The 12,613-nt window shown below is 41.6% G+C and overlaps 1 long non-coding RNA gene across 2 annotated transcripts in view; it reads right to left on the reverse strand.

The window, feature by feature from the left end:
* Positions 1-1,323: 1,323 nt before the first annotated feature.
* The window catches only part of LOC105372668 (uncharacterized), a 54,483-nt gene continuing 43,193 nt past the window's right edge, over positions 1,324-12,613 (reverse strand). For both annotated transcript variants that reach the window (XR_936864.3, XR_936865.3), the window contains exons 2-4: positions 5,251-5,483; positions 4,011-4,185; positions 1,324-2,509 (exon numbers count right to left, since the gene is read on the reverse strand). This is a non-coding gene — a long non-coding RNA (uncharacterized LOC105372668). The remainder of the gene's footprint in view (positions 2,510-4,010; positions 4,186-5,250; positions 5,484-12,613) is intronic.

Here is a 12,613-nt window from a genome sequence, read left to right on the forward strand (position 1 = left end):
TCTTTGGATTGCCAGAAATACTGTACAGGCTCAAACTCTTGCTCTCAATTTAAATAGTCTGCAAGATATCTCTGGGCGTCTTCTTATGGGTAGTGGTGCCCATTTTTCTGGAGTCTATACCTATGTTGTGATCATTTCCCACATCCTGTCATTATTTGACTCTAACTCATTTTGGGGTTCATTTTAAATTTCATTAGTTAGAGTGCCAGTTTCAAGCAGCAGAAGTTACTCAAGCTCTACTGTAGATGGGTTTATAGTAAGCACCTAGCATAGTCTGTTTGGAGTACCAGTTCGTAGCCCTAAACCTATGTGTGAACTTTCACATCTGGCCATAAGCAATTATTAATACCAGGCTTTACCTGTCAGACCTCGTGGGGAGAAACTGCCCTCCCCACTGCAGACTTGGGGCACAGCCGACACATTGAGTCTCTGAGGGGAGTTGCAGTCAAGCACTGAGTCCCCCCAGCCAGCCTTGCTCTTATGCACATCCACATTCCTGGCCCAGGTGCCTCTCTTTGGAGGCCTCTTTATCACAGGCTTTCTGCAGAGGCTTATCTTAGACACCTCTGCAGGGGTCACCTTATCAAGGAGAAGAAGCGGGGAGGCTTGGAGATGTTTTTCTCCACTCTGACTCAGTGCTCAGTACTTTCACACTCATAGCCCTTCCTTCTCCCCACCCCCCGCCAGCTCCAGATCCATTTGATGGCGGGAGTCTCTTGTTCAGGGGTCCCTCAGCTGTGAGACAATCCCTTGGCTTCAGTGCTGATCCAGACCCTCAATGAGGGCTGGTGCGCTGGGGAAAATGGAATGATGGGGAGTCGGCACTTTCTCTGGTTTAGTCTCTTGTGCATACTATTGCAGTAAATGATTAAAGCCTTCACTGTTCATCTTGGCTTGTTGTCTTAATCAGCTACCCTGACACCTGGCAGCTCAGCTCTCTCGAGCTCCGCTTAGCTCCTGACAGTCTGGTGGAGTGATATGAGGACAAGCAGTCACCTGAGCCTCAGAAGAAAGAAGAATCCAGCAGGCCGCCATTTTCTCCTCAGTGCCCTTGGCACAACGTGGCTGCCTCAGACCCCCAGCTATGTATGTTACAGTATCGGCCCCATGAAGAGACCACTTGAATAAACACAGACCCTTTGTTCCTAAATGCAAATTCCATAGTGACAAAAAACACACCGGGTAAGATGGTCACTTATGTTTCGATCAACCACGGCCAGGGATGGACTGGGGGAGGGCAACTTCATTTGCTGCCTAACAGTCACAATGTTAGTTTTCAAATGCAAAACAGACTATGTTACCCTCATGATTAAAATTCTCCAGTGTCTTCTCATTGCATTTATTTAAAAAATTCAAATTCTTTTCCATGTCCTGAAGAACCCTGTCTGACCCAGTCCTTCAGATCTTTCCTGCTGAACCTCACACCCCTCTCCTCTTCCTTATTCTTTTTCAGCCTTGTTGGCCTTTTTGTCTGTCCCTTGACCTGAGCCGGTCTTGTTCCCAGCTCACAGGCTTCATGCTGGCTGTTTCTTTTGCATGAAACGTGTTGCCATGTGATCTTGGCATTGTCGGCTTCTTCTCATAATTCACATGTCAACTCCCATGAATGTCCCAGTCCTGGAGAGGCTATCCCTGACCAGCCAGCCACTCCCTATCACATGATCTTAAAATTTCTTTTATTTTGGTTTTGCATTTAACATCTCTCATTCTTCCCCAACCCCCACACCCCATGAGAAAATGTCAGTTCCACAAGAGCAGGGATTTGGGGTTGTCTTGTTCACTATTGTATCCTGCTGCCCAGAACTGTGTCTGGCTTATATCGTGTGATTAATCAATAGAGGTTGAAAGAATAATTGCTGAAACCCCACTCTTGCCCATGAGGGTCAGTGGAGAGCTGAATCACAGAGAAAGAAGTCATTGGTTCTTGGGTGGGAAGTCACGACATCGGTGGAAGGCAGTCATCCACGACATTAGACACTATTAACTGTGTCAGTATTTCTAAAAGAACTGGCAATGAGTGAATTCCAGGAAGATGAATAAATGTTCTTCGAGAAATTGGAGATATAAGATTCATCTTCACATTGCCCCTACCGGCCTGGGGACATTCACTTGCTGAACAGGAAACATAGGTAGTGTACACATAAAGCTCAAAGCTGTTAAGTATGCCACAATTAGTTCTTCTGGTTAGTTTATTTCAGTAGAAGCTTCTTTGAAATGTGATTCTTCTCTCCCTCTTATCCTCATAAAAACATCAGTTATGCACATAGAAATGCCAATATTTCCATAGCCATCACTTTTTTGGTACCAATTAAGATGATTTGCTAAGTGAGTTTTACAAAATCCATGGCTATGTTGGTTAGTTAGATGGGAGTCAGACCAGATAAACTGAAATACCAGGTTTTAATATTCAACTGTAATTTCTTCATGAAAATATAAAAATCATTCCACTGAATCTCCCTCAACAGAAGCTGGATGCATTGCTGATTTCTGCCTGCTTTTCATTTAGTATCTGGCAAATGTAAAAACAAAACAAAACACGTAATATGTTAGAGAGATATATATATACAATCTGCAAATATGCAATATACAGATCCCTAGGTATCTGTGGAAGATTGGTTCCAGGACTTCCCTCAGAAATCAGAATCTGAGGATGTTCAAGCCCTTAATATAAAATGGTGTAGTATTTGCATATAACCTCTGCACATCCTCCCGTATACCTTAAATCATCCCCACATTACTTATAATACAAATACAATGTAAATGCTGTGTAAATAGTTGTTATAATGTATTGTGTAGGGAATAATGACAGTTTTTAAAAAGTCGATTCATGTTCAGTACAGACACAATTCTTTTTAGAATATTTTCTATTTGGGGTTGGTTGGATCCACAGATGCAGATCCCAGGCATGTAGAGGGCTGACTGTATATGTGTATATCCATACACACACTAACTCTTCATAATTCTGCATCTTACATTCCTATCCTCACAGAGAATTTCTCTTCTGTGTATGGAAATTAGTAAGGGTCTCACCTATATTTTACTAGCAATCTCTGGTCATTATTTACTGCCCCATATCATAAATGTCTCATGTACCTAAGTGATTTGCGCTTGATGTTCACGAAGCCTCCAACTGCCAACCACTTCAGGGGTGATGGCATCCCCATTTGCTAAGCAGCTTTCACACTCATTGGCCTCTAAAACTGAGCTGTTACCTAAATCATTGCCCTGCTATTGAGGTGGGTGGTTTTACGATGAAGGTGATAGAACAGAAGCCTTAGCGGATGAATGTTCCCCCATCTTTCCTTTGCAAGGGAAATGCATGCTCTTAGGCCGTTGTTCTCGTTCTTTTGGAGGAATTACAAATTTAACAGTGAAAAACAAATGAAGTACAGCCTGGTGATAATATCTTGTGTTAGTATAATGCTTTTTGACTCACATGAGTTTCCTATGTATAAACTTACTTGATCCTCATAAGAACCCTGCAATGCAGGCAGAACAACAATCATAATTGCCCTTTTACACGTCGGTAAGAGAGACTCAGAAGAGCCAAGTGATTTGCTTAAGGTCACACAGCTATTAAGTTGCAAAGCCAGAAAGAGAAACTCAACCTTTTATGAGCTCCTCATCCAACAAGTTTTTCACTAGACCCTTCATGATACTTTTTGTTTGAGCAAAAGGCACATTATTTTCCCATCATTACCCTAATTGCAAATTTGCTAGCGTAGGAACACATTCTTTCTGAAACCTGAAGTGCCTTTTCATAACAGTGTGCAGCGTTTTAGTTTCTAGGGGATAGCTGGCCCTACCTGCTTCATTTAGGGCTCAGAAGGCTGGGTTGGGAGAGGAGATGTAGTCTGCTCATTATCCTTCCCTTTGTAAGGATGTCAGCAGCAACATTAAGTTGCAAATGGAAAACACAACCTTGGCTTGCATCTCGTCCTCATTCTCCGCAGAGTTGTGTATAACCCAGCTGACTGCATTACCCAACCACGCCCCCTCCTGTACATTACCCATCAGCAAGTGCACTGCCTCTCTTCAGCTGGGCTTTGTCTCCGACGGCATTGCATTGCCTTCTCTTTCACAAGAGGCCACTGGGTGTGAAGGGATGTCAGTGTGCAGCTACCTCCAGAACACTACAGGTGCTCTTGGCTTTCCCTCTTTGCAAATTTCTCATGCATTTCTTCCCTGCAAAAAGACAAATATCCAACTTGGAAATGGAACTCAATGTGAAGTTAGGGCAATATGAGAAGGAGGAGCAAGAACCAGGAACCAATAGGAGCAGAATTCTTTGAGGGCCAAGGTAGCGACCCAGTACAATTTTAAACACTTAAAAAAATCCATGTCAACTATATATCAGAAATGAATTTTTAAAACCTTACACTGCCCAGGGCTGCCAATAGCAAAGAGTCCCTCAGGGCCAAAGCAGTTTAGCCTACAGTGCTCCCTAAGCTAAGAAAATCAAGTGTCTAAATGCATATCTTCACTCCCCTAAAAATGGAAGGATACGTAAGCCAACTTCTATTTTTGGTCATCCCTCCGAAGTCAGTCAAATATGAGTTCCAGTTTTAATGTAACATTTCTTCCAATAAAAAAGGTACTTCTGCTGTTATCAGATGTATATGAATATAGAAATATTAATAATTTCAAGAATTACTTGTTGGAGGCCTATCTGTTCCAAAATATATTTTGGAATCTAAGATCCTAGTATTTTGGGAGATAATTCATTAAAATTACTTTTAAAAGTGAAGTGAGCCATGCTATGAAAATAGAAGATGCAAGATCATTGGTGTTGACTTCTTCCCTTGATAAGTGTTTTGTTAAGTGACTGCTTCTTGGCTACTTTCATTATGATGGAGGGATTGCAAGGTCCCCCAATTTCACTAAGGCTCTTCCATGTATGAAAACTGGTGAAAATGAGTTGATTTATTGTGGTGATACTAATAGCTTGTGTCAGACAAGAGTTCAGATGTGAGTGGCTGAGATCGGGTAAGGGATGTGAGGAAGGGTAGACTACCAATCTCTCTCTTCAAGAGGAAAGGGGAAAACATAGGTTTTCTTCCATCCTTAAACACAGTCCAGACTCCTGGCTCATGGTCCTCTGTGGTTTAACTATACCTTGACCTTCCTGCCTTATATCCCCACCTCCCCCCCATCAATTCCTGATCAATCTTTTGCCATATCCTTTGCAGACCTTCCTGTCTGATACAATTAATGATTAATTAATTGACATCAAAAGTTTGTGAACATTACCTTAGTCAGCTGTCTTGTGTGCCCACCTGCATAGGAGGTACATGTCTAGTGACTGGAACGCTGTGTTTGCCCCATCATCATCCATTCAGGAAGGAGGACATTCCTGGTTGAATCCACGCTGCCCCATCAGCAAGTCGAGGGTGTAGCATGTGATCATAATCAACTATTTTGTAAATTTTGAAGCTGCTGCCATATCCATTCTATTGTGAATTGCTCAATTTCTCAGTACCTACCTGTTGTTAATCATAAAAGTTTGTCAAAATCAGAAAAATGATCTTATCAGGAAAAGGAAGGAAATGACTGCTTTAATTCAGTGAATGACTAGTGGTAGAAATTTTGAACAAAGTCCACATTATTTTTACATGGTGCATGAATGTTAAGTTATGTATAGTTGCAAAATCTGCCTTTTTTTCTTCCTTCCCCCCTCCCTTCCTTTCTTCCTCCCTCTTTTCCTTTCTTCCTCCTTCCCTCCCTTCCTTCCTTTCTTCCTCCCTCCCTCCCTTCCTTTCTTCCTGCCTCACTTCTTTCCTTCTTTGCTTTCTTTCCTTCTGTACTTTTCCCTTCTTTTCTTCCTTTCTTCATTTTTTTTCCAAATTATTTGTAAATCTCCAGCAAGGTATTCTTATTAACAAGAAAAAAAGAGTACTGGACTTAATAAGTCAGAAGGCTTAGGGTTTGCAACTCAAGGCCCATGCTCATGAATGACGTTGGACAAATCATTTAAATTCTCTGTATATCCTTGAGGATCATCCCCATCTTACAGATATGGAACTAATGCTCAAAGAGGGTCCTGTAGCCAAATGTGGCATACCTGGCAAGTGTGGAGCTAGACACAGGACTTCTGGCACCAAACTCCATCTCTTAATCCCCATTCTCTAATGAGAGTAAAGTTAGGGTAATGAACACTAAAGACCTGGACTCTTAATAAATAGCACTTAATCCATGTTGAACCAGATACCTTCCCCACCTGCACATTTCCAGGTGTGTTTCCACATCATTGCTCTTGTGGGTGTTGTCTGAGAATTTTTATTTCTCCATTTAAAGCCCTCTGGATCAGGTGTTTGTCTGCATCCCAAATGCACTGTCTTCAGGAACGGTGCATAGAGCAAGGCAGATGGAGCCTGTGGCACTGGAGCCACCCCTGTTTCAACTGTGACATTCCCACTTTCCTCTCTTTTACCTAGTGGGTTTCTACACAAAATTTAACTTGAAGAAAGCCAGCTTCTACTTATACAACCCCCTACACACACAAACTTATTTGAAACTCATAATCTTTGGCCAACCTTTCTATGTTACTTAATAAAAATCTGAAACCTGAGAGGTAACTAGAGAAAGAGAGTAAGATTTGGAAACTAGAAGGAACATGCCGATAATGTAGCCAGGGAACCTGAACCAGGATCAGACACTGATGCCATTTAGGAGTGGGCAGGCTAAATAACTTGTCCTTCATGTCTGGACTGAGATTCCAAATGGCAGGATCTTGGTGATCAATAACAGGTGTTGTGATGCCAGGCACAGGTGAAAATTTTGCTACTTGAGAAGGGTCTTTCCTCTTTGTTTACTGGATATATCAGTGTCTCTCACCTTTTTAAAAAAGTTTCTTAATTCTTTCGGTTCCTGAAAAAGTGATTGCATTCTTGAGAAGAATAAAAAACTCAAGACCATGCTAAAATAGACAGTTAATAATTACCTCTTGATTATCACTCCAGTACACCATGCCTCTCTCTGTTACTGTTATTCAATTTCCCTTGCCACCTTGGCACTGTGTCACTCATGGGTAGAACTGTTTGCTGCTCTGAGTTCTCTTATAAACTCATGAGACAAAGTTTTCGAATTTTCAGTAGACCCTCTTCTTTTCACAAGCTTAACTCTATTCTAAGCCTCTAACTTATCACATTATTTTTAAACAAGTCAGATTTTCACCTCTCACATAACAAAAAGTCTGGAGGTAAGTGGCTAATGAACCATGGCTCATGGACTCAAGGATATCTGGCATGGAAGTTAGAGTCTCTGAGATGGCCTTCCTCTTCCCAGGTTTGAGTATAAGATGTTAGCCACAGCTCCAGGCCGCACACCCTCAATCAAGGCAGGCAGAACGGGGAAGGGGCCTCTCTTACTTATTATCACTGTAAGTTGTACTCTGCTGCACACTACAGTGGACATCCTTTATACTCCCTTGTTGCAGCTGACAGATACATATACCTAAGTGTATGTGTCCCTTGGTGTAGCAACAGTAAATTTTACACATCAGTCAACATTAAGCAATCCATTCATGCCCCAGAACATCACTGCTTATATCACAGTGGTATTTCTTATTGTCCTGAAAGTGGAGTGATATATGTGACTCACTCCAAAAACAAAACAAACAAACGAGAAACAAAGGAAGGCCAGGCAAGTTTGGGGATGCAGTTTAGGTTCGAAAGCCTTTGCATGAGCTGGTTCTTGTTGACTCCTCTGATTCAATTCTTATCTTTCCTGTAGTTTAACGCCATTTTTTCACACCAGACTGCTTCCTGCCCAAGCTTGTTCTTGTCACACAGTCTTTATACCTGCCATCCCCATCGCTTGAAATGTGCTTCCATGACTGTAACATGACTGGCACTCCAGCATACATTCTCAGCTCAGGTGTCACTTCCTCTGGGACACTCTCTGTGACTATACCATCCCTAACTTGCACTCAATCACAGCACCTTGGTTCATTTCTTCATTTCACCATGTGAAATTTTCTTGTTTTTTTATTTCTTCTTTCTGTCATTCCTACTAGAATCTAAGTTAGATGACTGCTGGAACTGTGTCTGACCTATTATTATTCACCTCAAGCACTTACATGAGCACCTAAACATGGGTTGAATGCATGAGAAAATGAACCAATAATTGTCATCAAGGAGATGCCCAAGGTTTTAGATGATTTCAGGAAAGGTGGAGACTTCTTGAAGAGCAGCATTTATTTATGAAAACACATATAACACCCACTGGCCATAACAATGTGACAAAGGTCTTAGGTTAACTCACTGCTCTGCCTGTGCTGGTCAGGACAGGCTTAATACAATGTCCTTTGCAGAGGTGGGTGGAGCAAGCCTATTATTTCAGGGTCCTTGATGCAGCCATTTGAGCTGTTCTTGGCAGCTAGTTTATGTATTCATGATTTAAGATAGAATGACAAAGCCATTTATATATAAAGAAAAAAAAATCCTCCAATACTTTTCAGTGTATTGTCTTCCAAGAGAACCCTTAGTTCTCACTACCTGCCAAACAAGAGCTAGCGCCAAAGAGATGTAGAAATCAAAGACTCAAAAGGAGTCATAGAAGAAAGGATTAGAATGGAGCAGCATTTCCTGATTGCAGCACTGCAGGCACAAGCTTTTCTCTACTTTGTTCTTTTTGGTGAAGACAACGCAAGGGCCAAACAAAGATGCTGTGATTCATTGAAAACTCAAATAAAATGGCAAGTCATTTCATCCAGAGTAGATTTTCTGACAGTGATGTCTTTCTAATCACGAAACTTTTAAGCATTTTCAACAAGCCAAATGAGCTCTTCACAGTTTTGTTACCTGAGCAATTGTCCATTTATGAGTCCCTTTCCATGAAGAACATGTACTCTGTATCCCTGCCAATGTGCCAGAAGCAAAAGGCAACATGCCTCCGGTGTGGCAGCAAAAGCCAAGAGTACCGGCCATCTTGGCAAACAAAGAGCTATTGTCTATATCTACGAACTTATTAGCATTTGGTGCCTTCATTGAGCCACAGGTGAGTGGCCATGCAAGCGTCCATACGTAACAAACAAAAAGAACAAAACAACACCATGTACCTTGATTTCTTCTTCCACACCCGTTTATGCAATCAATCAACTTTCACCCAAGAGCACTTTACGACAAAACAATGTCCTCAACAAAAGCAACAATAGTATGTAATAAAAATTGAGCTAGGACTATAAGGTGTTAGCTTACATTAAAGGGAAAAGTTGAAAAGGAAAATAAAACAAAATACAAACCATCTGTAATGTGCTTTTGAGTTCCAGGGCAGAGAATTCCAAAAGCAAGGGTAATTCTTGGATGGGAGACCCAGTAAAAGTGACAAGATTAGCCGGGTGCAGTGGCTTATGCCTGTAATCCCAGCACTTTGGGAGGCTGAGGCGGGTGGATCACTGCAGGTCAGGAGTTGGAGACCAGCCTGGTCAACATGATGAAACCCCATCTCTACTAAAAATACAAAAATTAGCCAGGTGTGGTGGCGGGCCCCTGAAATCCCAGCTACTTGGGAGGCTGAGGCAGGAGAATCGCTTGAACACAGGAGGTGGAAGTTGCAGTGAGCTAAGATTGCACCACTGCACTCCAGCCTGGGCAACAAGAGTGAGACTCTGTCCCAAAAAAAAAAAAAAAAAAAAAAAAAGTGACAAGATCAAGACATATCGTGTTTCTCTTATCCCCACGAAGAAAAGAATAAAAATTGCTCAAAGGAGAGAAAACAAACAAAAACAACAGAAAAAAGTCACATGAATATGGTTATAAGACAGCTCTTAATGGAACTGGGCAATGAATTTGTTGCTATGATTGGGGGCCATAAGCAAAAGTGAGAACTGTCACATGAGAAGAGGTTTTGTCACAAATCCTCAAATGCTTGAGGTTACGCATATTTGAACTTTAACAGCTTAAAAAATACATATGTCTGAGAATGTAATTTTTAACTGATTTCAAAGATCTGCACATGAGATTTTATAGCCTGAGGTAGGGGAAGGAGAAATTGTAACTTTGCCAATTGTAAATGATTTTGGTAATTTTATGATGTGATTTTTATGCTGGTCATTTGCATGCTATTGTTTGCTTAAAAGAAAAAAATAACAAAATTCAACCTCCCAATAAGTGCTAATGGAAAAAATTGGTGAAAGAGGAGGAAAAAGGGTGTATAGACCATTTTGGCTTCTTAGCCACCTGTTCTCAATTCCCATTTTTCTTCTCAATAAAAACTTCAGTCAGGTTGTATTTTGATGCCTGTCACTCCACATTCATCAGGTGACAAGACTGTTCTAAACTAATACATTTAGCTCTGGATGTGTGGCCTGAGGAAGGCTCCAGAATCTTCCCATTTATGCTGAAATTGGGGCTCAGAACCTCACCTAATATTGCCCTGTTTCTGTATGTACCAGTCTCCTTGCATTATTTCATCTGGCAAAGTCAATATAAAAATTAATAATAGCTTTCCAATCTACAAATAAAAGTATGCCACTTTAAATTTTTGGCAGTGAGCTGGCATTTTGTCATTTAATCATTTCACATCATTACACTGCAATATGGAATGTAATGACATGACACTCGTAAATGACAAACACTTGGTCTCCCTTGTACAGGAAGAAATAATGTAATAGGAAGCAAATTATATCCTTAAAGGTTGCCAGAGTTTCACTCCCACAATTTGGGATTAAGATACTGAGCAGATGCAAGGTGAAGAAAAGGAGAATCTCTCCTACAGATGTCCTGGGTAAGACACAACATGATAAGTGAATGATCCCCTTCCAGAAATGGTCAGAACATTCCTAACACTGTAAACGTCCTTTCCTACCAGGGACTCATGCAGAAAGCTGTGCACAAGATTCTTTCTCATATTAAAGGCCTACATGAGATGGGGTGAAGGGGAAAACTGTGGTTGACAATCAGCATTTTTTGTTTGTTTTATAATTCTGTTATTATTTGCTAAAAGTGGTCAGCCCCTGCTTAATACTTGCTCAAATTTTACTCTACTAAAGGGAGTTTTGCAAAATGGCCTCCCTAGCCAATTCTTCATATCCTTGCCAAGCTCCTCCCTCACAGAACTGGAAACCAGATCTCCTCCTTCTGTAATACCTTAAATTCACCATGTTCACTATAAAGCTCACAATTTTCTAGCACAAGCTAGTGTTTACTTTCTGGACACACACCACCCCAGCCATCCCATTGCATAATCAAAAAAACTAAGAGTATCCTGAATCATCTATTTCTCTGAACAACCTCATCTCCAATCTTTCCAGGAATATAGAAAGCATAATGAAGACTAGTCCAGCAAGGACTTCAACCCATCAGAAGGGGCCCCAGGTGTAAATAACTAGTCTTTGCCAACTGGAGACTTTGGTCAAATCCCGCACCACCTCCTGTTGGTTTACCTTCCAAATGACACTCATTCTTCTACCTCTCTCTTTTATTGGACTCTCTGAGTCTAAGCAATCCTCCTGTCTCACCTGAAGAACCAGTAAAACTTACTCTTTTCCATTATATGTCATCCAACACCCCTCCACCCCCATGATCATCCTCCATACTGCAATTACAGAGCTCTGAAAGATTCACATATGATCTTTACTGCAACCGCTTGAAGCCCTTCAACGCACATCCATTGATGGGGCAAAGAACAGCTTGCTTCGTGGTACCTGCATACAGCAAGTCAGCTTTAGCAACTTGGCCTTCTGTGCACAACCTCACCCCATGTTTCCTGTGTTCCAGAGCCACTGCCTTTACTAATTTTTTCATTTCTCTTACTCGTTTTATCCCCTCTCTCCTATAGGCTTTTGTACCTGCTGACCCGTTTGTCTGAAATACTCCCTCCACAGTTCTCCTTTGACTTGAATTCATCTTTCAAGGCTTGTGTCATCCTAAGAAGGAAATGGGATGGGTCATGTTTCTTGATTGCCACTCTCTTAGGACCTTGGAAGCATATAATCTGTTTGTAGATTCAGGATCATTGGTGTAAAATCTTCCCATTAGATTGTACCTTCTCTGACAGGGACCAAATGTTTTTGCTCATTATTATTTTTCCAACTTTAGCAGACAACCCAGCACATAGCTGTCACTCATTCAGTCAGCCGACGTATATGAACTATTTGTCAAAGGAATAAATCAGTAGAGGATCCAGTGGTTTTGTTGTTGTTGTTGTTGTTGTTGTTTTGTATTTTTTGAGATGGAGTCTCACTCTGTCGCCCAGGCTGGAGGGCAGTGGCATGATCTCAGCTCACTGCAAGCTCCGCCTCCCGGGTTCACGCCATTCTCCTGCCTCAGCCCCCTGAGCAGCTGGGACTACAGGTGCCCGCCACTGCACCCGGCTAATTTTTTTTATTTTTTTATTTTTAGTAGAGACGGGGTTTCACCATGTTAGCCAGGATGGTCTCGATCTCCTGACCTCGTTATCTGCCCTCCTCGGCCTCCCAAAGTGCTGGGATTACAGGCGCGAGCCACTGTGCCCGGCCCGAGGATCCAGTGTTTTACCCACATCATTTGGGCCCCACTCTTGCTATTGTGCTTTCTAGTCTTATTTCTCTAAAGAGAAAATATGGTTTGCAGAAAAATTCTAAAGTGATAATGGATTCCTCTATCATGCAGGGACATTGAGGTCATGATACTTC

This window comes from Homo sapiens, chromosome 20 (genome assembly GCF_000001405.40).
Source record: "Homo sapiens chromosome 20, GRCh38.p14 Primary Assembly".
In the NCBI taxonomy this organism is placed as follows: domain Eukaryota; kingdom Metazoa; phylum Chordata; class Mammalia; order Primates; family Hominidae; genus Homo; species Homo sapiens.